At 39.9% G+C, this 20,631-nt stretch overlaps 1 protein-coding gene across 31 annotated transcripts in view; it reads right to left on the minus strand.

Moving 5' to 3' along the window:
• Positions 1–20,631, minus strand: part of DTNB (dystrobrevin beta) — a 296,335-nt gene that overhangs the window by 196,725 nt on the left and 78,979 nt on the right. For all 31 annotated transcript variants that reach the window (NR_147180.2, NM_001320935.2, NM_001351393.2 and 28 more), the window contains 2 exons: positions 6,754–6,859; positions 2,871–3,037 (listed from right to left, as the gene is read on the minus strand). Coding sequence is in view for 29 of the 31 variants with exons in the window: in NM_001351393.2 (NP_001338322.1) it covers positions 2,871–3,037; positions 6,754–6,859 (273 nt within the window). In the remaining 2 variants the exon portion in view is untranslated. The remainder of the gene's footprint in view (positions 1–2,870; positions 3,038–6,753; positions 6,860–20,631) is intronic.

A 20,631-nucleotide genomic window follows, 5' to 3' on the forward strand; every position in this document is an offset into this window, starting at 1 on the left:
AGTCCTAATGACGTTCTTTCCACCAAGATAGCAGAGAGGGTACAGAAGGCACCCTGCTATTTATTAACTGTCTTCTTCTGGAAAGACACCTATCATTCTGTTCGCATTCCACTGGCAAGAACTACTCACATGGTTCCATTTAGCTACACGAAGGCTGAAAAGTGTAGTCTAGACATGTGCCAACAAGAATAGGAAAAAAGTAATGCTGACAAGCTCCAGCAGTCTCTTTCACACTCATTAAAACTTAAGCTCCACAGGGCAGGAGTCTTTGTCCGGTTTGTTCATAGATGTATCCCAAATACCTCTTACAGGACCTGGCACACAGTAGGTGTTTAAAAAATAAATTTTGAATGAAAGAATGAACAGACAGGATAAATCTCAGATATGGTACCATACGGCATTTTCTTTGTAATAAAGGCAAACAAAATGGACCAAAGACTAAAAGAATGAATTATACTGCATAGCTACTGAGATAAAACATTCAACAGAAATTTTTGGAAAAATCAAAATAAACTTCCAGGTACTACTTAAAACTCATATGTCACATCTACAATGAAAATTCTTATACTAGCTGGTTAAACACACACTTAAACTCACGTATGAGCATATAGAAACATTTGTTCAAAACGTTAGTATAAACACAGCCGACAATCTCAAAGAAATTACTATTAAATTGATAGCACATCTTTTTGTTAGCTGGAAACCTCTTTACTCAGCCTTACCAGTATGCATCTACCATACACAAGGCATACATCCATCAAAATTCAGAACTAATACGTTTATCACACTAGCTTCAAAATTATGCAGGATAACAATGCTTATTTTTAAAAAAATTTAAGTCTCTTTAACAAAAATAAAGGAATTCATAAAACAAGCTGAAATAAGAATAACAACATATGCAAATAAGACTTAGTTCACAATAGTGCTGTGAGGGTCAAACAGAAATGTAAGAATTCATTTGTGATTTGTATACTTTTCTGTATGTATCTTATAACTCAATGAAAAAATTCAAGAGTAGATGAAAACATGCAAATCATAAAGCAGTATCAGTCACTTGTCTCTAAACAAATACAAAACCCCCATTTTTAAAAGAGTTATAGGTTAGCCAAATGAGGAAATTCAAACCAGGGGGAATAAGAAGTTCCCAATTCTCTTAGCCCCAACATCCGGAATAAGAATTTTCAGTAGAAATATACCAGCAAACTCAGTCATCATGAAAGGTAAAACAGCAAAAACTATCCCAGTGTAAAGAATTAGACTCTACACACACACACACAAAAAAAAAAAACCAGTGGAAAAAACATTAACAATTAACATAGTGAAGTACTTGTACTTTAAGAAAGCAAAAAGAAACAATTTGAAAATCTGTAAATTTTCTTTATTCAATGAAAAAGAAAAGAAACTACTGTGTTTTTTTCCTTTTTTTGGATTTTAAAAGTGGCTCTTCACAACCACCACCACCAAAAAAAATGGAATTCACAACACAACAAGACCCAGGATAGGATATTCAGTTTAACAAAATTTTATCATTAATTATAACAGAAACCTATCTAGGAAAAAAAAAGGATCTTTAACAGATTTTCAGAGATGAAGGAACTAGAGTTAAGTGTAGATGTGGGTTGAAGTTTGTTTTCCTTTTTTCTTTAATTCCTGAAGTGAGTTTATTTGCTTTTTCTTGGTTGAGTTTTAAGACAACCAAAGGGAAAATAAAAACTGGTTATTAAAGCTTTCTAATACTTGAAGGCCAATAGGATAACCAGGCTAAAGAACCTAGATCCTGAATTATACTTCTGACCTTACATGTTTTTCTACTGTTTAGCAAACCACCAACCAACAAACAAAAACTAGAGGAAAGATTTTAAAACAAAGGCTGTAGCAACTTTTTGGAGGGAAAATATGGCATTTTTAGGACTCTGGAAATAAACTGAGAGAAAGGAAGGAAAATAATTGATGATAACCATGTTACATAATTTATAAGAACCACAGAAAAATCAGATATTGACTTCCGCCAAGATATTACTATTTTAAAAACTACTTTTGAAGGTAAAGACACCAATGTGGCAATGGTTGTAAAATACAATGTTTTTTCCAACTTTACAGGCATAAATACTTAACTCCTTTATTTTCTGCAACTTTCCTTGCACATTTAAACCCTATAAAAGTGAGGAAATTTTGCTTGCAAAAAGAACTTTAAGTCTTACTTAGAGCTCAAAAGAATAAGCATGGGGGGGCGGAATCCCCTTGAACAGTTTTGTTTTTTTTTTTTTTTTTTTTTTGAGACAGAGTCTTACTCTGTTGCCCAGGCTGGAGTGCAGTGGCGCAATCTCGGCTCACTGCAAGCTCCACCTCCCGGGTTCACGCCATTCTCCTGCCTCAGCCTCCCGAGTAGCTGGGACTACAGGTGCCTGCCACCACGCCCGGATAATTTTTTTTTGTATTTTTAGTAGAGACGGGGTTTCACTGTGTCAGCCAGGATGATCTCGATCTCCTGACCTCGTGATCCGCCTGCCTCGGCCTCCCAAAGTGCTGGGATTACAGGTGTGAGCCATCGTGCCCAGCCTGTACAGTTTTAAAATAAAAAGAAACTCACTTTTTGCTTTGAAAAGAGAGCACTGCAACATTCCATTTTACTGAATAAAAGAGACCATTTCAAATGTACTATCTTTGTTTCCTGGAATTTTTAAAAATTCTGCTTTTAAAATCAAGTGAGGAAGCACAACATTTTTGCAATCCTGGCATAAATGTTAGTGTTAAGATTTTACTATATCACACCCTTATTTGGTAGGCATCCATGAGGAAACTGGCCCAGGTGCTGTTACTGATCAAACAGATTAACACTCAGGGACACAGATGAAACACAAAGCAGTTACCCAAGAGGAATGCTCCTTCATCTGGTGCTGGTTGCTGTGAGGGCCGCCGGCATGGCCACGCCAAAAGCAATTCTGGCAGAGCTGATAGTTGTGGCACTGCTGGCATCGGTACCGGAAACCCATCATACTCTCACATCGGCAGTAGGAGCACTCCACGGGATGGAAGACTTGTGGACAGGAGAGAAAAGGGGAGAAAAAAGGGCAGGAGGGAAGGGATAGAATAAAAGAAGAAAGAATAAAATTTCACTTGGAGAATGAAGTCAATACAGAGGAATACCAAAACTAATATAAAAACAAAGGTAAAAATAAAAGTAGAGCCGGATGCGGTGGCTTGCCCTTGTAATCCCAGCACTATGGGAGGCTGAGGTGGGCAGATCACTTGAGACCAGGAGTTTGAGACCAGCCTGGACAACATGGCAAAACCCTGTCTCTACTAAAATTACAAAAAAATTGGCTGCGCATGATGGCACATGCCTGTAATCTCAGTTACTCAGGAGGCTGAGGCACAAGAATCATTTGAAACCAGGAAGCAGAGGCTGCAGTGAGTGGAGATCATGCCACTGCATTCCAGCCTGGGCGACAGAGCAAGATTCTGTCTCAAAAACAAAACAAAACAAAACAAAATTAGAACTAAAGAATCTAAATTGTCTGCTAGTCTAACTAGCCATTTACTAGAAAAAAAAAAAAGATTTAATACATCAGAAAAAAAAATTCAACACAGACTAATGATTCTAATCTAATCATTCCAATGTACTATCAAGGGCAATACACAACTGTATGTTACAGATCACTATTTATACTTTTAAATGTTGGTAGCATAATTATTTCCTCTGACAATTCAACTCTGAACACAAGAAAAGGAAGTTAATAGAAAAGAGGGATAGGCCAGGCATGGTGGCTCACGCCTGTAATCCTAGCACTTTGGGAGGCCGAGGCGGGCAGATCACGAGGTCAGGAGTTCGAGACCAGCCTGACCAACATGGAGAAACCCCGTCTCTACTAAAAATATAAAATTAGCTGAGCGTGGTGGCGCATGCCTGTAATCCCAGCTACTTGGGAGGCTGAGGCTGGAGAATCGCTTGAACCTGGGAGGCGGAGGTTGCAGTGAGCCAAGATCGCACCATTGCACTCCAGCCTGGGCAACAAGGGTGAAACTCCATCTCAAAAACAAACAGAAAAAGAAAACGAAAAGAGGGATAGAATATTCAAATCTTCATTGAACAACTCTTTCTAGCATTATATATATAAGACCACAATCTTACTTCAATTATAGGGACTTCTAGACTTGCTTCCAAAAATATATATTAACTAGTGAATCAAGACTCAAAAAAAATTGAGTATGAGGTGATAAAAACAATATAACAAGATTATATAGCATGATCACTAGGGACTAAAAGAAAACTAAACTCAGTAATGAGAAATCCAAAGGATATTACTTCTAAGAAATTCAGTTTTTTGCCATCAAGGTATTTCTATGGAATGCTGGAAATGCTAATTAAGAGCATGTGCTCCAAATTAACTATACAACCTAGTATAGTTCCTCCAGAGAACAGGACTCCCTCAATCTCAGCAAATGTCAATGAGGTCAACATCTGTGCAGCCAATATTTATAATTCTAAGTAATTTAGGTTAATATTAAAAGATATATGTATGTTAGTATTAAATTACCAAATACATTCTGATAATTTTGGTTGAACATATATGTCTATGTGATTCTCCTACCTTCTCTTCCAAACCACTCAAGAGCCAATCCTTAGTCAGTGGAATGGGTGACAGGTGGAAAAGCAGAGAACCAGAATGATGAAAAAATTAACAAGTGTGTTGGGTCAATTATAAATAAGAAAGAGAAGGACTGTTCAGGTTCTGGTATAAGTATTATTTTGGTAAAGTGCATCACTTAGTTACCTTGTTATATACCTACACTTGGATTAGTAAATCAATTTAAAAAGTGCAACTTTTGCTTAAGTGAATATTTCTCCTTATGCATAGTAATGTCAATATAATTCATGATGAACTTCATAGAGCCCAAACCAAAAAAAAACCATAAATACCATAATTTTATAATTTGTTTCTCACCATTAAAATTAAGACATACAGAAAAATATTAGTGTGATAGGTAACATATTTTATTTCTAGATATTTTAATGATTTTATAACATTTCTGTCTCTGATAAAAATATTACAAACCATATACATTAAGAATGTAATCAATAAATTATACACTTTATAAAAGTCACAAAAAAATGTTGATATGCATATGGATAATAATACATCTTGACAAGTGAGGCTCTTTCTACTTGGTATAGCAAATACAAAATGATCTTATGAAAATCAATTGGACATAAAACTACTAAAACACTTAAGGCTATAAAAGCATTGCTCTCCAAAATTTAAATCTATCCAAGAATCCTGTTTTAAAAATTTTGCTGTTTTAGTCTAGAGAGATTCTGGTCCTTTAAGAAATGAATCCTTAATCTGAGGTACTTGTGAACTAAAGCCATAGTTGGGTAAAAGGCTGAGAAAATTTTATTCTGAAGTATGGATAGGAAAGCGAGAAAATAAAAACAGTATGGATGTTTATTTTATTCTTCCGGGGGGATAAAAGTGGACTCTTGGCTCTTCCTCGTTCTCTTTTGAGGAATGAAGAAAGGCAAGAGCCTGGAGAGAGGGAAGGTTACTAGAAACACAATGGCCTTCCCCTTAACAAACTCCAACAACCTAAAGGAGGAGATAAACTGATGGCAAGAACAGGAAAAATTAAGAAGTCACTAAGAGATAAGTACCATTTTAACTCAAAGCAAAACAAAGATTTATGTCAAATTACTGGGAGGGACACCAAGAATAGTTTCAAGGCAAAATGGTGAAGGAAAAAAAATGAGGAAAAAAAAAGGGAACCCACTGTTAAATTATATCTTGGCTATTTTTCTTTAAATCATTCCAAAATAATTATAGTTTTAGCAGTTGATATAGCATATATACAGTTTTTTAGAGATATGAGTTTGATAAATCAAAGAGGAAGCAGGAAGTCATGGCTAAAAATCAGTTGGGCTCAAACAAGAAACAATCATCTGGAATCTTAGGGAGGAAAAGCCTATAGCTGAAGTTGTATGATCTGATATGACTACTATAGTATCCTTTCTTTTTTTTTTTTTTTTTTTTTTTTGAGACAGAGTCTCACTCTGTCACCCAGGCTGGATGCAGTGGTGCGATCTCAACTCATTGCAGCCTCCACCTCCCAGGTTCAAGCAATTCTCCTGCCTCAGCCTCCCAAGTAGCTGGGATTGCAGGCACCCACAACCACGCCCAGCTAATTTTTGTATTTTTAGTAGAAACAGGGTTTTGCCATGTTTGCCAGGCTGGCTGGAACTCCTGATCACAAGTGATCCACCCGCTTCGGCCTCCCAAAGTGCTGGAATTACAGGTGTGAGCCACCATGCCCAGCCTACTTCTTGGTATCCTTTTTAAAGTAATAAGTCTCTGCGAGATCAGCCTGGCCAGCATAGTGAAACCCCATCTCTACTAAAAAGATAAAAATTAACCAGGTGTGGTGGCCGGCACCTGTAATCCCAGCTACTCGGGAGGCTGAGGTGACAGAATTGCTTGAACTCGGAAGGTAGAGGTTGCAGTGAGCCAGGATTGCACCACAGCACTCCAGCCTGGGCAACAGAGTGAGACTCTGTCTCAAAAAAAAAAAAAAGTAATAAGTACCCTCCCTTTTTTAAAAAAAAATTCTTCTGAAAGCCAAAACCACAAAATGAAATGACAGAATGACAGCAAATGTCAACTGTAATTTTCAATGATATTAATAGCTAAGGACATTGCAAATAATCAGTTCCTATACTTTCTATAGCATGCGGAATTGAACAATAAAAGTTCTGCTTACCATTCTCAACATGGGCAAGCCTGTGCATGAGAGGTAGCCAGACAAGGCACTGGGGAGGAGGGTCAGCCATCATTGTGTCTAAAAACATATTTAGCATTATCTTTCTCTGTAAAGAGAAGAAAAACAAACATACTTTAAGTTTTTTAGGAATCTCCAAACTCCAAGTTTAATTTAGGATTTTTCCCATCCAAACTTTAGTGAATTACACGGTAAATTTTATAGCAAAATAAAATATTTTACATTACTACAGACACTACTACATGCTGTACTTTACACTACTACTATTAGTATATTCAAATGTATTCCCATATACATTATTTTATTTTAGTCAACTGTATAAGGTAAACTAGGTTAGACATTACTATATTCACTTTACAGATAAGCAAATAAACCATTTAAAAGTTTTGTAGTGGCCTGGCCCAAATCAGACACAAACCCAAGACTGTCCTTCAAGTCACCATTTCCGCTTTCCAGTGGGGAAGAGAAGACACCCCACACCCAAGTATAAGAGCAGGGACTGTGGCTGGTTGTCTACCATATTTCCAGCTCTCCTAACAGTGCCTGGCACACAAGATGCACTTAAGTAACTATTGAAAAGATAATAATAATAATTTAAAGGGCAAACACCTAGACATCATTTAACAACTTTCTCATTGACAGAAGAGAAAACAGAAGCTTAAAGTAGTTTAAATAATTTGACAACATCATAGAGATAGTTACGATAAGGATGAGATTGGAACCTACATGTCCAAATGCCCATCACAATGCTCCTGTTATACCATCTCCCTAGCTAGACTGCATTTTTCTGTTCTATCTTTATTTCTCTTTTTAACAAATATATAGTAAGCTTCCACTGTATATGAAACACTGAAAGAGTATGTCCCACTTAGACACCAAATTAGAAAGCAGTCTAGAAAGATAAGATAGAAATAGAGTTATATGATATAGAGAGAACAAATTCTCCACAATATTTCAAATTAATGAACTTTCTTTTTATTTTCTCCAGCCCACATGACACCTTTCCAGCTCCAAAGAAAAGGAAAAAGGAGCTGAAAGTCCAGGTCACACAACTCAACAAGATAGTTCCGTGATTGTAACCTGGACATGAAAATCTCACTTCAAATTGTTCCAAAAGAAGAGCCCAGACAACAGGGCACACACTCAGGAGGTGCATGGCCGTCGGCTGCCTCCTCCATGTCCTGATCCCACCATTCAGAGGCAGGGTGGTGGCTGGGGCGAAGCCAAAAGCACACCCAGAATTTCACCTTGGTCTCTCCCAAGTAACTGTTCTCAGTCCCACCACTTTCTTAATGTGAAGAACAGGATATAAAAAATATAGGTGTTTCCCCATAAAATGTTTAAATCATTTATTTCAAGGGGGGAAAAAAGGTAGAAAAGATAAAATTGGTTAGGGCTGACCTAAAGATATTGCTGGCTGATTACAAAATAACTCTGATTTTTACCACTAAAAATATATATATTTAACACAAACCGGAAGCGAGGAGTGAAGACACTGTGATGCTTGGCCTGAAGGACGGAGGCCCCCAGGGATGCCATCAGACCAACCACCGGAACCTCCCAACAAGAGTTCCTGTCTCATAAGGCTCAAGACTAGACAGACTTATTCCTCTGCATCTTTCTAGCGACTGGGAGAATCTTGATTCCAGTATACGTAAATTGGAGGTCATCTTATTGAGAATAATATTTAAAATAAGAAACTGCTTAATGGGGAATAGAAAAGGGAGGTAGAGTAGAAGGCACAGCAGGAAAGAAGCTGTGCAATAAAAATCTGGAAAAGATGAAGAAAGCTGAGGGACAATCTCATCTCCAGAAAGCCTGCAGGCCGGCAGGAAGTAGTTAAGTAATTGGACAGTTCCTCAATTTAACTTCTAATATGGAACTACTGGGGGGCGGGAGGAGCTGAGAACTACGCAAAAGGGCTGACAGAATGATTGGCGGTATGGAGCTGTCATTCAAAGGGCCTCTACACATCATGAGCACTGATGGTGAAGCATGAGAAGTACCTACCCAAATAGGCTAAATAAAGGTTACCCTAAGTGTTTTCCATCTCAGGATCCAAGAATACTATTGTTTGAGACCTTGGTGGGATCTGGGAGGAACCAGTGAATAACATTAAAAACCATAAAGCCACCTAATATTTGAATGCAGGAACAGATATGGAAAATGCCTCTATGGACATGCAAATAACCAACAAACCAAGATAAAGTCAAAAGTGTCTATTCAAAATTATTGAGATTGGCTGGGCGTGGCAACTCACACCTGTAATCCCAGCACTTTGGGAGGCCAAGGCGGGCAGATGGTTTGAGACCAGCCTGGCCAACATAGTGAAACCCCATCTCTACTAAAAATACAAAAATGATCTGGGTGTGGTGGCGGGTGCCTGTAATCCCAGCTACTTGGGAGGCTGAGACAGGATAATGGCTTGAACCCAGGAAGCAAAGGTTGCAGTGAGCCAAGATATCACCACTGCACTCCAGCCTGAGTGATGCAGTGAGATTCCGTCTCAAAAAAAAAAAAAAAAATATATATATATATATATACACACACATACACATGTATATAAAATAAAATTACTGATAGAAGATGCTAGAAAATTTTTAGCTAGTAAAAAGTAGCGAACAAAATTAAATGTATCATATCCTTTGTCATAAATTAAAAGTTTAATATTTCTATAGCTTGTGTTAAAAATTACATTTTTATAATCCACTTATAATTCTAATACTACTTTCTCTAAAAAGTTTTGATTTGCCTACCATGGAGTTTTTGTGTTTTTTTTTTGTTGTTGTTGTTTTTTGAGACAGAGTCTCGCTCTGTTGCCAGGCTGGAGTGCAGTGCAGTGGCGCAACCTTGGCTCACTGCAACCTCCGACTCCCTGGTTCAAGCAATTCTTCTGCCTCAGCCTCCCGAGTAGCTGGGATTACAGGCATGCGCCACCACGCCCAGCTAATTTTTGTATTTTTAGTAAGATGGGATTTCACCATGTTGGCCAGGATGGTCTCGATCTCCTAACCTCATGATCCACCCACCTCAGCCTCCCAAAGTGCTGGGATTACAGGCGTGAACCACTGCACCCAATCATGGAGTTTTTTTTTTTTAATCTTCAAGATGACAAGGTAGAATTAGATTTTGATATCTCTGAAGACCCTCATAAATAAACTTAGGATCAATCTCCAAAAATTGTCCTAAAGTCACACCATATATGACGTTTTCCAAAAACATGAGGAATGAAACTAGCAGAGCCATGTCCAAGCACTCTGTCTTCCACCAACCACGTGATCTGGAGAAAATCACTGAACATCTCTGAGTTTCAGTTTTCTCATCTTTCAAGGGCTAAAATAGCAGTTCTCAGTGTCATCAGGGAACCCCTGGAAGGTATTTAAACATTTTCATGGAGTTTCACGGAGCTTTGGAATATTTCATAATAATACTAAGACATTATTGGTCTTTTTCAATCTAATTCTCTGAAGAGTGTACAGTGGGGTTTTCCAGAGACAATGTGACGAAGCCACAATTATCTAAAAAGGCTACTAAAAGACTCTCCCTTTCCCAACTATATAGCTGTCCGGGGCCAAATTTTCTTCCAAATTTTAACCAAAAGAGCATATCACAACAGATTGAATGGATAAGCAAACATGGGAATCCATGTGTCTTCTATAGAGGCAAATATTAAAGATAAGCAAAAATACAAAACCATGGCACTCTTCTCATTAAATTTTTGTTTTGAAATAGTTATTTGTCATAAAAATGTTATTTATGTTAACATATAATAGGTTCATCATTATTTTTAAGTGACTTAGTTTTCTTTTATTTCTCAATTTTACTTTTTTTTTTTTGAGACAGAGTCTCACTCTTTTGCCCAGCCTGGAGTGCAGTGGCTCGATTTTGACTCACTGCAACCTCCACCTCCCAGGTTCAAGCAATTGTCCTGCCTCAGCCTCCTAAGTATCTGGGACTACAGGCGTGTGCCACCATGGCCAGCTAATTTTTGTATTTTTAGTAGAGACGGGGTTTCACCATGTTGGCCAGGCTGGTGTTGAACTCCTGACCTCACGTGATCCACCTGCCTCGGCCTCCCAGAGTGATGGGATTACAGGCGTGAGCCACCATGCCCAGCCTCAATTTTAACTTCTAATATGGAAATACTGACAGACTTAACCCATATAAATAAAAGCTCTTTGGGGTCCTCAATAATTTTTACAGTATAATGAAGTCCTGAGACCAAAAATTTTGAGACCTGTTAGGAGAGGCTTCCCATCTCTAAAATTCCATGACTCAATAAATAATTTTATGAAAGGCAGGTTGGCTCTTTTTGTCCCCTATCTTTTTATTTTGTTTTTGCTCTTGAGTTGAACACATTCTTTGCATTTCTCCTTATTTTTAAGAGCTTAATATTAATATGAACTATAATAAAATGCAAATCATGCATTCCCACAATTCTCATTTTTCTCTATTTCCCTCCAGATGTATATATATTTCTACATACTTGTGAACAGAATAGATATGAATACATCATCTGTTTTTTCACTTAACGTTCTATTAAACATCTTGTTTTGTACAAATTCTTCATTTCTAATCCTTTTAACAGCTGCCTGATCCACTGAGCGAAACCACCATGATTTATGCCTCCCTCTATAAAACACTGAGACTGCTTTTATCACTGTATGCAGTCTCATATTTTTTCTTAGAAACAAGCGTTTGTTTGTTGCTCTTTGTTATTCTAATCTAGACTGACAACTATTACCCTACATGCCATTCTCACTTCCCTTCCTCCACCCTTGACTACCTCTTCCCATTTTTAAAAGGGGAGAGGAGTAACCCCTTAAAAATGAAAAATCCAGTATCAATAAAATAACATGAGAAAATAAAATAATTTAGCTATAGATCATCATTGCTACAGTCTCCAACTTCATCATTTCCAACAAAAACTCCTATAATGTGCAACATAGAAATATTTACCCATTGCCTTATCATTTAAATGATGTATGACATTTAGTTAACTGTCTTGAAAGGGACACTTCTAAAGTTTTCAGGTTAAAACATTTTTATGCAAACTTCTGAGTATAGTTACAGAGATATTTTATCTGACAAGGGCAAACATACATTAATCAGAGTTACAGAGTTGTTGTAACTGAAAGGGGCAGTCTTTCAATTATTTTCACACTGAATTTCCCCACATCACAGATTTATTTTGGACTTTGAAAATAAGAGTAATTTATAATGACAAAATAATATAATGTTACTCTGCTTTTTCTTAGAGATATTTTTATTTGTTATGGATAAAGGAAAGATTAGAAAAACTTCAAATATTCTGAAATACTATATTTCTCTCATTGCAAAGATTATTTCCTTTGAAAAAATCATGGAATAATATCAGTGAAAACGAGGATGCAAATACATTATGAAGTTTAAGCTTTCATTAGAATTCAAACCAAAATTACTAATTTTCTCATGTCATACTTAACTTAAAATGCTTCATTAAGCACGGGCGGCCAGGTGCGGTGGCTCACACCTATAATCCCAACACTTTGGGAGGCTGAGGCAGGCGGATCACTTGAGGTCAGGAGTTTGAAACCAGCTTGGCCAACATGGTGAAACCCCATCTCACTAAAAATACAAAAATTCGCCAGGTGCGGTGGTGGGCACCTGTAATCCCAGCTACTCGGGAGGCTGAGGCAGGAGAATTGCTTGAACTCAGGAGGTGGAGGTTGCAGTGAGTCGAGATTGCGCCACTGCACTCCAGCCTGGGCGACAGAGCATGACTCTGTCTCCAAAAAAAAAAAAAAAAAAAGTTTAAAAAATCATTCAATTAATCCAGGAAATAGTATCGATCGTTTTCCAGACACTGTCAGTCACTGGGGATGGAAAGCTGAAGGAGAGCAAGGTCCCTCCCTTCAGGGCATAACTGAGCTGTAGGTAACATGTCATGGAAGTAGAGAAGAGGACACAATCCTAAGATGAAAGATTAAAAACATCAAAGAAGAAGGCATATTTTTGCTAGGATGTGGAATCTGAAGCCTTTTTTGGAGGAGAGACAGAAAGTCAGGGGTTACTGGCATTTCAGTGAGAACTAAGAATATAAACAAAGACAAAAAGTTTGACTGCTTTGACTCACTCAAAACAGGTTACTCAAAACAAGAGAAATGCAAATCAAAACTACACTGAGATAACATTTCTCACCCATCAGATTGGCAAAAATTCAAGTGTGGGAACATGTGCTGCTGGCAAGGCTGTGGAGACACAGATGCTCTCGCACAACACTGAGGGGGATGTAAACAGTGCAACCCCATGGCCCTGTGGCAACAGCTAAAAAGATCCCATGGTATGCTAAGGGTAGGAACAGGAGAGGGATGGGGTAGAGCGGGAGCAATCAGGAATGGCGGTGAAAAGGTAGACTGTGGTTCGACTGCTGAGAGCCACAACGTCATGCTAAGCAGCTTATCCAGCAGGCAATGAGGAGTGAGTCGAGTTTTTTATGAAAAATAAGGACATCAACAGAACTGTATTGCAAAATGATGATTTAAACTCAAATTTGCTTATGATTAAAAGGAATAATAAAACCAACATCTGAGAAAGCACACTCCTCTTCCTTAGGCTGCCATTGAGCCACTGAATAAAGTGACGAGAAGACCAGGGTCCTTCGTTTTTTGGGTGATGAATTTTTCTGCTTTACTTGAATACTAGTTAGTCATACATAAAGCAGTAAGGCAGAGGGGACACTGGAAGTCCAGAATGGGACTGCACACTGGACTGTGCCACCAATGAACACCAAGAATGACCTGGACCGACAGCCCCACACCCCACAGGCTGGGGAACTTCTTTCAGCTCATGAATCATCAGTGGGGAAGCGGGGGGAAGGGGTGCTTTCCTAGAGCATGTGGACAGCAAGTACTGCTAACAAAAATCCTTTTCTAAAAAGAAAACAATCTTGAAGCCACTTGTCATTTCTATGTAAGGATTCATTTAGTAAGACACTCTCTCCTTCACAGGCCCAACTAGAATAAAATCTCACTTCTAGGTCTCTACAATTTTGTTCAATCTAAGTATGCTAGTGAGACAGGCCTCATTACTATAGAGACCTGATCATAATAAAACCCATTCTACACCCTGCATTTCATCCCATCTAAGATGCACTTATAAGATCACTTGTAAGACACACCATTATTTTTTTTTCTACCCCTAAGAAAGAAAAGCACTCAGCCAATTTAACTAACTCAATGACTTAATTAAGCATAATCCTTCGTGACATGTGAATTGGTCACACCAGCCTCTTGATGAACTGAAATTCCTTTCATCTATTCAGGGGAACTTGGCAGTTTGGTCTACCTTCAGATGCAATGCTTTAGTGTGACAATAAATTATTTTGGTTATATCTCAGTAATAAAAAAATACAGCTTCATCTATTTGGGGATATCCTCTTTTTTAAAAAGGCTCTATAAAGCCTCCTTAAAAAAAAAAAGGCTCTAAAAAGCACCTGGTTGTTGCTTTGCAAAATAATATGGAATTCCTCCAATGCTGAATATTTGTTTTACTAACATCCAGTGTATTCCCCTCTATTCTGTCCACACCTTTCTGCATTTATAACAACATTGTCTTTAATGCCAAATCACAGTATACTCTCTTCCGAGAACTTTTTTTTTTTTTTTGAGACGGAGTCTCCCTCTATTGCCAGGCTGGAGTGCAGTGGCATGATCTCGGCTCACTGCAACCTCTGACTCCCAGGTTCAAGCGATTCTCTGGCCTCAGCCTCCCAAGTAGCTGGGACTACAGGCGCACGCACCACGCGCAGCTAATTTTTGTATTTTTAGTAGTGACGGGGTTTCACCATGTTGGCCAGGATAGTCTCGATCTCTTGACTCCATAATCCACCTGCTTCGGCCTCCCAAAGTGCTGGGAGTACAGGCGTGAGCCACTGTGCCTGGCCTCTGAGGACATTTTAAATGACAACACATGTAGTGCCAAAAGTGGATACAACTCAGTTGAAGTGACAACAAATGATCAGCTATGATCAAGTTCACACATGTGCAGGAAATGACAGCCCATCATAACCACTGCCTAACCAACTGCAATTGTGAGGTATCATTGGCTATATATCTCAACATCAGAAATATTAAGATATGAAAAAGTGTCTTCAAATCAATGAAACACTACTAATCCACACCAAAGTACACAGTAGCAAAGGGTTGCTAACGGAGATTATAAAATCTCCTTAATTAGAATACCTATGAAATAACAAATATAGATACACCTGCCAGGCAATGCTTGCCAAACTCTATTCAATGTCCAGGAAAACAAAGTCAGAACATCCAAAAGACATCTCACTTCAAAGTGAGGAGAAAAATCATTTCGCTACATAGCTGGAGAGAATATTTTGTCAAATGCAATCGGAGGACACCTCCAGGCATGAAATATTGTTGTTATTCTTAAAATTAACCAGCAATAGTATAATCCCATTTTTATACAATTGCCACTGCCTCCGTGAATCAAGGGAAATGTGGCATGGTGCCCAATAAAGTGTTATCAACAGTATCTCCTGCATACACTGATTGTAAGAGTGTGTCTACTTTCCTATCTGCTCACTTCTCCCTTTCTCTCCATTCTTTGCTTATTCAGGTTTCTTTTTCTTTTCTTTTTTTTTTTTTTTTTTTTTTTTTTTTTTTGAGATGGAGTCTCACTCTGTCGCCCAGGCTGGAGTGCTGTGGTGCCATCTCGGCTCACTGCAACCTCTGCCTCCTGGGTTCAAGCAATTCTCCTATCTCAGCCTCCTGAGTAGCTGGGACTACAGGCGCCCGCCACCACGCCTGGCTAATTTTTGTATTTTTAGTAGAGACGAGGTTTCACCACGTCGGCCAGGCTGTCTTGAACTCCTGACCTCAGGTGATCCACCCACCTCGGCCTGCTGGGATTACAGGCGTGAGCCACCATGCCCAGCCTCAGGTTTCCTTTTCATAAAGATAGGCATCAAATTAAAAATTCCGTGCAAGGTGGGTTGAACTCTTCGAACTAAAGTCAATATTGTTACAGGATTCCTGGGGTGATGCTTTTCCTTTGTGGCCAGTGGCACCTTTGCCGGAGTTTTGCTTGGGCCCACTGGACTCGTTCCACCCACTCGGCCTGGCAGGCTGCACTCGGCTCACGCTACCAGCCTGGATCCCATGCCTACCAAGGGCGAGCCATGTGCAGAGCAGTGAAGCGAGTGTGAAGGAGTGTGGGGTCCGGCCACTATGCACAGCCAGGCATGCCAGCTGCAGTGGGGCAGGCAGCTCCAGGCACCAGCACGGGCCCTGGCTCTCTGTGAGGTTGCACTGGACCAGGCATACTGCAAGCTGCTTCCACAGCTGGCACCAGCAAACACGGTGGCACCCAGAAGCTTGGAGATGCCAGGAACCACAGAGCCCCAAGGAGGGTATTACAGCCCCGGCCTGGGGAGCTCCTACATCTGGGCTCCCCAGAGGGGTACAGCTCTTTTCTCCTTCTTTCTTCTTCTTGTTGCCCACAACATGGCAAGCAAGGGGCATATTTCAGCCCTGTTTACGTTATAGCTCTTTTAGACTTGCCATTTTTTGGGTCCCGAGTTCCTGTCCCGTACCCAGGAAGACTGAGGTATGTGGAAAAGTGGAGGGTAAGCAAGGCAAAGAGGAACTTTATTGAGCAATAGAACAGTTCGGAGGAGACTCGCAATGGGTAGCTCCTCTCCACAGCCAGGGTGTCCTGACAAGTGTTCAGCTCTCAGCATAGAGGAGACTCTGGAGTGGGTAGCTTCTCTCTGCAGCTGATCGTCCTGATGTCTCTTCAGCTCTCAGCAGAGAGAAGACCCTGGCAGGGTAGCTCCTCTCTGCAGCTGGTTGTCCCATCATCTCTTCAGCTCTTAGCAGACAGGAGACTCTGGGGTGGGTAGCTCCTCTCCACAGCTGGTAATCATTTGTTCGAGTTTGGCTGAGTTTAGGGCTTTTGTGGGTCTTAAAGGGGAGGAAGCGCATGCTGACAGGTTCATGGGTGGCCATGGGTAGGCTTGGAAAAAGCACCACAAGTTCCCACTCCAGTCCATGGGACTAGCAGCCCGACCCCCAGGCTTCAGGCCCTCCCTGTCTTGAAGGTGGGGCTTCACCGGGGACCCACGCCCTTCCACCCAGGGGCCTGTCTGCCTCCTACTGCTGTTCATGGCACCCAGGTGTTCGTGCCAAGGGGCACCTGCAGGCCAGTGCCAAGCTGCCCTCAGGCCCGTGGCCTTCCTCCCATGCTCATCAGTGCCCAAAGTCCGGGGGTGCTGAGGTGGCAGGGGGCTGGCATGTCAGTGCTGCCCCGAGCGTGTGCACACCTGGCCAGGCTGCAACAGTGCCCGAGCTCGGCCTCAGCCTCGCTCTGACACTGGAGCAGGTGTTGGGAGCAGGGAGACGCCAGGCAGCGGGAGCAGGGAGATGCCAGGCAGCGGGAGCAGACACCTCCAAGCCTGCAGGGGCAAGGGCAGCCTTCCCAGGCCCCTGACAGTGCAGAGATGCCTGGTCTGCAGCCATGGCTTGACCGGCTGCAGCTGCGCCCAGGGAAGGCGAAGCTCCCACCCTGTCAACTGAGAATAGGGTGGAGCTTCTGCCTGTTCCTGGCTCCCACCAGCTCTATGGAGCATGCAGCCCCAGCCACGCCTCCCCCAGTGCAGCCAGCATCGTGGCAGTGGCTGTTCTAGATGGGACACAGATGCCATTAATATGAAGACCTAATAAATAACAAATAGCATCTCCTTTCTAAGGAGAAATATTGCATTTTCCAAAACTCTAAAGTTTGGAAAATTTGGGGAGAAATTTAAATACATTTACTACTTATTTTAAACAACTTTTAAGCGTCGAAAGTCAGTTAGTTTGTAAACTCTGAAGAATGTTAATATATCTGGGCTACTCACCAAAGTATTAGTCTTGGGGTGCTATAACAATACTCTACTATGTTCAGACAATAATCACAATCACAAATTTGCAAGGACAATTTTTCTATTATTAAAATTCTTAAAAATATATCAAAGTAGAGAGAATAGTATAATATGCCCATCCCGGCCAGGTGCACTGGCTCACACCTGTAATCCCAGCACTTTGGGTGGCTGAGGCAGGAGGATCACCTGAGATCAGGAGGTCGAGATCAGCCTGGCCAACATGGTGAAACCCCATCTCTACTACAAATACAAAAATTAGCCAGGCATGGTGGCAGGCACCTGTAATCCCAGCTACTTGGGAGGCTGAGGCAGGAGAATCGCTTGAACCGGGGAGGCAGAGGTTGCAGTGAGCCAAGATTGCACCAATGTACTCCAGCCTGGGTGATAGAGTGAGACTCCATCTCAAAAAAAAAAAAAAAAAAAAAAAAATATGCCTACCCAGCTTCAACAGTTCTTAACATATGACTAATTTGGTTTCATTTTTGCTTTCGCTTTCCCTCCAGCCTTCATTATTTTGGGGCAAACTCCAGACATACCATCTCTTAAATTAGCTTTTCCCCAATTTTTTTTAATAATGGACATCCAGGATGCTTCTGGTTTGGGGCTAGTATGAATATAGTTGATAAGAGCACTCCTGAAAAGTCTTAAAACCTAGGATTAGGTTTTAATTTAATTGCTAGGTCATGAGGAGGTGTCAGATTAGTTTTATTAAGAAACCACCAGGGCTTCTTGCAGTTTGTAAAGAGTACTGGATACTCCAAATATCTTTACCAGTATTCGAAGTCAGTATTTAATTTTAGCTATCCTAATAGATGGGTTCTGCTGAATTAACTTATAAACGCATCTAATTTCTCTTGTGTTTTAAAAACAACTAAACTACATAATCCACAGACCTTATTTTGGGTTAGTTTCCCAGGCAAAAAAAAAAATGTGTTTTAAAAAAGAATTAAAACTATATTAAAATAAACCAATGTGTAATTCTCTTCATATCATTAAAAAAAAGCATTTCTGCTGTAATGTGTTACATTAAGAAAGAAGCTGAAATTTCTTTACATCAAAATGCTATAATGGAAAGGTGCGCAGAGTACAACACTGTGGACTTAAAAATCATAAGGTATATGAGGAAAACAGAGTTGGAACAACCACTAAGAATCTACATGGCTTTGTAAATAGAGGACAAACGAAATAATCAGCCAAACTAAATCCCTCCAGGTGCATGCACTGGTATCACTGTCGGATGGTGTCTTTCAGCCTTCAATCCTGAGCCACTGATTTCCTTCTTCATGAGACGAGCATACAACTTCCAAAATAGATCGGTTTCATCAAAACTAGATATCGGATCCAGGGGAAAGCTTAATTCTGTCCATCGATCATGTGAGCACAGGAGGCAAAACGTCTTCACAGCCTCTTCACTCAGCTGCAGCTTCATCATCACAGCACTGCAGAAAGTGAAGCAGCTCATGGGTCCTTGAAACCAGTCACTTCTCTCCCTAAAGGAAGGTACTGCAGGATTTTCAGCTTCTTTCTTAAAATAGTCATACTTTCTCTTTAATTGTGATCGCTTTTTTGTTCAGCCCAGAACATCAAAATGCTGGGGGAAAGTGCATATGAAAAAACAATGCAATTTCTAATTTGCATCAACATTGTTTTCTATCTGATGACGTAAGAGCTGATTCTCATTAAGGAAACACATACTGAAGCAAAACAAACCATGAGAAAAGCCCATTTTCAAAAAGAAACGCAAAACTCATTGAATTTAACTCTTGCAGCATGAAACTTTGTCCAAGCTGTCTCACTTCTTGGTCAATATATCAGTATATTCTATGAGTGATTTCTATTTCCCCTGAGGGTTTTTTCTTTTTTAACATTTTCATGGACTGAGATAAACTTCTCTTTTCCAAATTTGACATATACAAAAATGCAGATTGATTTTTTTTTACAGGAATATGAATGAAGCAGGTAAAAAGTAATGATCAGGTTGTGAGTTCAAAGCCCTCACAATTATGTATGTCATAAGGTTAATTTGCAGAATCCTAGATAGCATTCTTAGAATTAACAACTGCACTTTTAAAAATTTCTTCAACATTTTAAACTGTTATTCCAACACCAGATTCTCATCGGAATACTAACGTTGCAATTAAATTAAAGATTAGGTTTATACCCCACATAACTGTCATCCATTTCTCAGTGTTCATCACTGAGAGTTCTTTGTACAAATTCCCTTCCCCATTCCAATACCATTTTGCTTAAGAGTACCATTCCAGAACTTGATCCATTTTTAGCCTGACCTCCAGGAAGCATCTTGTGTGAAAAGCCATGTATACACCATACACAAGATTACCCCAGAGTATTGTGTGGGCCACCATGGAAGGTGATGATACCTCCAAGGCAGCAGCAGGAGCAGCAGTGAGACGGGCTCCAGATAAAAAATGCAGAAGAGCTGTGACTTCATCATACTCATCTTCACTTACGTCCCTGAAGGGCACGTTAACACCTGAAGGACACTCTTGTACCAGGATTATGTTCAGACAACCTCACATCATTTGAAAATGCATATTCGGGGGGGAAAATGTGAACTATGTTTCATTAGAACGAAGCATGGAGATATTTTTAATATGCTAAAAGCTGATGCTGATTGCCATTTATGCTGAAAGAAAAAATAAATAGTGCATAGAGGCAAATCTGCACAAAACCAGTCAGGCAAAGTGTGCACAAATTTGGGAAGAATATCTCCTCAGATGTTACTAAAAATAATTCTCCATTATCATGGGTACCACCTTCAGTGCTAAAGCTGAATAACCTCTAAACAAACTAAATACTATTTGAAAGTCTGAATTCAAATAACCATGAATTCTTAACTTTAAATGTAAAGAAGTATGTAGGTGGGGAGGGGCCATGTGTGCATGTGTTTTTCATTCGTTTTTGAATCAGAGTATCACAGG

Source organism: Homo sapiens, chromosome 2 (assembly GCF_000001405.40).
Source record: "Homo sapiens chromosome 2, GRCh38.p14 Primary Assembly".
In the NCBI taxonomy this organism is placed as follows: Eukaryota; Metazoa; Chordata; class Mammalia; order Primates; family Hominidae; genus Homo; species Homo sapiens.